Below are 5,325 nucleotides of genomic sequence, written 5' to 3' on the forward strand. Positions count from 1 at the left end.
AAGGCCAGGCACAGTGGCTCACGCCTGTAATCCCAGCACTTTGGGAGGCCAAGGCGGGCAGATCACCTGAGCTCAGGAGTTTGAGAACAGCCTGGCCAACATGGTGAAACCCCGTCTCTACTAAAATGCAAAAATTAGCTGGGTGTGGTGGTGTGTGCTTGTAATCCCAGCTACTCAGGAGGCTGAGGCAGGAGAGCTGCTTGAACCTGGGAGGCAGGGGTTGCAGTGAGCCGAGATCACGCCACTGCACTCCAGCCTGGGTGACAGAATGAGACTTGATCTCCAAAAAATAAAATAAAATAAAATAAAATAAAATAAAATAAAATAAAATAAAATAAAAAAAAAAACAAAACGAAACAGACATGAGCAGGCAAAGAAGATGAGTGAGGTTCTGTCTGATTTTCTATTTTCTTACTGCTATCCAAGGCCTAGGATAGAGTAATATAGCTATATCACCCTCAATAATTACGATGTCTTATAATTATATTTTAAATCCTGCCATGTATAAATCAAAATATGACTTAATTGGTAACGTTATGAGACTTTCCATAGATATAAATTTACAAAGAATAACAACTTTCTTGGTTAGAGCATGTGTGCGATTTTTTCAATATAAGTACAGTCTAATCGACCACATTTAGAATGAAATATGAGAACCAAGAGTATTCTATGATTATGATTATAGATATAATTACTGACAGTTGAAATTTGCTTGCTTGAGTAGACCAGATAATTAAAATATCATGTTAAATAGGCTTAGGATCAAACCTATACAGAACTGACGGCTTTGCAAAGAGAAAAATTTCCATGGCTGGAGAACTGCATTCTTAACCTGGGCCAGGTATTTCAAAAATATGCTGTTTTGGTCATGAGGGAATACAGGGAGGGAGGAGCGTGGGTGGGGACAGAAATGTTACAGATGACTTTGTGCAAACTCATCACCACTGTAGGAAAAACAACACAAAACCACGACCCAGTCAGTAACATTATCTTAGGTCTATAGAGAACTGGCACACTTTTTGGCTGACTGTCATCCTCAATAATTTATCTTGTAGTTACACAATGTGTTTCCTTAAGAAAACTCAAAGAGCACTATACAAGTTATTTCATTGTCTTCGTAACATTCTGAAGATAAAAGCAGAAGGGAAGTTGTCTAGACCAATGCTATCCAATAGAAATATGACTCAAGCCACACATGTAATTTAACATTTTCTAGAAGGTACTTTTTTCTTTTTTTTTGAGACCGTCTCCCTCTGCTGTCCAGGCTGAAGTGCAGTGGTGTAATCATGGCTCACTGTAGCCTTGACCTCCTGGGCTCAAGCAATCCTCCCACCTCTGCCTCCCAAAGTGGTGGGACTACAGGCATGTGCCATCACGCCCAGCTAATTTTTGTGCTTTTTGTATAGACAGGGTCTCGCCATGTTGCCCTGGCTGGTCCCGAACTCTGGGCTCAAGTGATCTTCCTGCTTGGCCTCCCAAAGTGTTGGGGTTACAGGCATGAGCCACTGTACGCTGCCTTAAAAGCTACATTTTTAAGACCTAAAAAGAAATAGGTGAAAATAAGTTGAATATTATATTTTATTTAACCCACCACATCTAAACTATTATCATTTCGCCGTAATGAATATAAACAATTGTTCATGAAATCTGTTACATTCTTTTGTTTGTACTAAGTCTTTGGGTTTATTTTTTTTCAGCTTTTATTTTTAGATTTAGGGGGTACAGTACTAAGTACTTTGAAATCTAGCGTGCATTTTACACTTCCAGCAAACCTCAATTCAGACAGGCCACATTTCACATACTCAGTAGCCACATAACAGCACAACTCAAGAGAATAAAAGAAAGGGCGACAGTCACAGAACCTGAAGTCCAGACTCTATTGCAAGCTAAGATAATGTGAGTCACAGTTTGTCACTGCCCTGCTTAAAATCCTCCATGGGTTTCCTGTCACACCTATCACAACAGCTGACGTCTTACCTGTAAGGCTGCACATGGAACTGCCCCTGCCTTCCTTACTGATTTCATAGCCTGCTAATTTCCCCCTCATTCTGTCCCCATCCTAGGCCTTCTCCTTTGCTGAGTCCAGTTCATTCCTATGTCAGGTTGGTGGCACTTCCTCCTCCTTCAGCCTCAAATATATCTTCTCGTGGCTCAAACCGTGACTTAATTCATGTTTTTGCTGAAAAGTCATTTTATAAAGGCCGGCCTATGATCAGAAATAGCTCCTTCGCTAGCCACTCTCCACCTACTTACCCTGCTTTCTTAATGTTTAATTAATTAATTAATTAATTAATTTTGAGATGAAGCCTTGCTCTGTCGTGCAGGCTGGAGTGCAGTGGCACGATCTCAGCTGACTGCAACCTCTGCCTCCCAGGTTCAAGCAATTCTCCTGCCTCAGCCTCCCAAGTAGCTGGGACTACAGGCGCATGCCAATAAGCCTGGCTAACTTTTGTATTTTTAGTAGAGATGGGGTTTCATCATGTTGGCCAGGCTGATCTCGAACTCCTGACCTCAAGTGATCTGCCCTTCTTGGCCTCCCAAAGTGCTAGGATTATAGGCATGCTCCACCACACCCGGCCTTAATGTTTATTGTGCTAAGTATTGAAAGTATATATGCATGTATACTGTTTTATATATACATTTTTTTTTTGAGATAGGATCTTACTCTTGCCCAGGCTGGAGTGCAGTGGTGGGATCACAGCTAATTACAGCCTCAACCTCCCACGCTCAAGAGATCCTTCTGTCCCTGACCCCAGTAAATGGGACTACAGGCATGTGCCACCATGACTGGCTAATTTTTAATTTTTTGTAGAGACAAAGTCTTGCTATATTGCCCAGGTGGGTCTTGAACTCTTGGGCTCCAGTCATCTTCCTGCCTTGGCCGCCCAAAGTGCTGTGATTACAGGCATAAGCCATGGCACCCAGCCTGAATTTTGTTGTTGTTGTTGTTTACTATCATCTCCTCCACTGGAAAGTAAGTTTTATGAGGTCAGGGGCTTTGGTTTGGTTTGTATACTGTTAGATTACAGCACCTGGCACACAGTAGGCTTGTTGAATGGATGAGTCATTTTGGGCAGGTCATTTGGAGGGTACAGTGCAACATTTAGGAGCTTGCACTCTGAAGTGAGACTCCTTGAGTTTGTACTGTAGCCTGTCTGCTGACTAGCTCTGTTCCTTTGAGTAACTGCTTAACCTCTTGCAACCTCAGGTTCTTCATCTGAAAAATTGGGATGTTAATAATATCTACTTCGTAGAGATGATGTTATTTTGAGGATTAAATGAGATAAACTAGGTCAAATACTTAATACAGTATCTAGCTCATAATAGACTTGAGAAAAATTGCTATTATCTATTAAACAGAGATGAAAACGAGTGCTTCTGCTTAGACATACTTCACCTACTCCAGTGCTCCATAGCCTTGGCTCTGGTCAAGGTTCCTAACAGACGTTCCTCTGTGTGATCCATCCTTATCTGTTACCCTTTTGGCACCACTCGATAGGTTGAACGTTCTCCTCCCTGATTCCCACAGGACACAGACTTTCCTACTACTTTTCTGCTTGTCTCTGTTCATGCCCCTTTGCAGGCTCCTCATCCTCTCCCCTTTTTATATTTGTTCAGGCTCTGCCTTTGACACTGATTATTCTTTCCTTTTTCTTCAATTTTTCAATTCTGTTAATATACACATAACACAAAATTTACTATGTTTAAGTATATACAATTCAGTGGTATTAAATATTCATAATGTTGGGCAATCATCACCACCATCTATCTTAACTTTTCTTATTTTATAAAACTGAAACTCTATGCCCATTAAACAGTAACTCCCCATTTCCTTCTTGCTTCAACCCCTGGCAAGTACCATCCTACTGTCTGTCTCTATGATTTTGACTATTCTTAAGTACCTCATGTAAGTGGAATCATACAATATTTGTCTTTTTGTAATTGGCTTATTTTTCACTTAACATAATGTCAAGGTTCATCCATGTTGTAACATGTGTCAGAATTTCCTTCCTTTTCAAGGTTGAGTAATATCCCATTGTGTGTCTACATCACACTTTGTTTAACCATTTATCTGTCAATAGACACTTGAACTGCTTCCACATTTTAGCTATTGTGAATAATGCTGTTATAAACGTGGGTGTGCAAATATGTCTTTGAGACCCTATTTTCAATTCTTTTGGGCATATACCTAGCCACCGATTACTCTGTATACCTTCTACCTGAGCAATCTCATCCACCCCCAGGACTTCAATTGCCATTTCTTTTCTTTCTGCTTTATTTATTTATTTATTTTTTGAGATGGATCTCACCCTGTCGCCCAGGCTGGAGTGCAGTGGCATGATCTCAGCTCACTGCAACCTCTGCCTCCCGGGTTCAAGTGATTCTCCTGCCTCAGCCTCCTGAGTAGCTAGGATTACAGGTGTGTGCCACCATGCCTGCCTAATTTTTGTATTTTTAGTAGAGACGGGGTTTTACCATGTTGGCCAGGCTGGTCTCGAACTCCTGACCTCAGGTGATCTGCCCGCCTTGGCCTCCCTGATGCTGGGATTACAGGCATGAGCCACTGTGCCTGGCCTTCAATTGCCACTTCTATGCTGATGATTCCAAATCTACATCTCTAGTCCAGCTTTCTCTCCTGTGCTCCAGGTCCGTACCTGTGATGCCCTTACAGCCATTCTGCTTGGATATCCAATATTGAAATTATTCTATTTCCTCCAAACCTGCTGCCCTTCGGTATTTCCTGTCTAAATGAATGGCAACTCCATGTACCCATCGTCCAAACCAGAAAATGTGGTATCAATCCGGAGTCCTCCCTCTCCAATCCCACAATCCAATCAACCTCAAAGTAGTCACACATCTACTTCTACATACTCCTATAGTCATACCCGAATTCAGGTCAATATCACTTCCTGTCTACCTTCCAGGGTACTGGTAACTAATAGCTTCCTAGAGACACCTCTGTATCCATTCTTTCCTCCCTCAAATTCTTTTCCATAAAGTAACTAGAATAATTTTAATAAAATGCAAATCTGATCTCATTATCGGATGCTCAGATCTTCATTGCTTAGAACTCCAATGTGATGGGTAGCTCCCCCTTGCCTTTAGGACAAAGTCAATGTTTTTAGCCATTTAATATTTAGTTATACATATTTTAAGTTTTATATACACACCTGTTACAAACAAACAAAACAGCAGCCCTACAACATACCCTCTCCCATATCACTGTCCACCATTTCTTATGGTTCAGTTCCCTAGGGGCAACCCCTTCCAGCTATTCTACCTGATTCCTTTGAAATTATCTCCATATCTCTAAATAACGTATTT

General features: G+C 41.2%; 1 annotated feature.

The window, feature by feature from the left end:
- Positions 845-2,044: an enhancer, noted in NCBI's record as "MED14-independent group 3 enhancer chr7:90208498-90209697 (GRCh37/hg19 assembly coordinates)". NCBI's record gives its function as "activates an origin of replication core promoter dependent on BRD2, BRD4, P300/CBP and CDK7 cofactors, and independent of MED14, by STARR-seq in HCT116 cells {active_cell/tissue: HCT116}" and the evidence as "EXISTENCE:reporter gene assay evidence [ECO:0000049][PMID:35650434]".

This window comes from Homo sapiens, chromosome 7, assembly GCF_000001405.40.
Source record: "Homo sapiens chromosome 7, GRCh38.p14 Primary Assembly".
Lineage (NCBI taxonomy): Eukaryota > Metazoa > Chordata > Mammalia > Primates > Hominidae > Homo > Homo sapiens.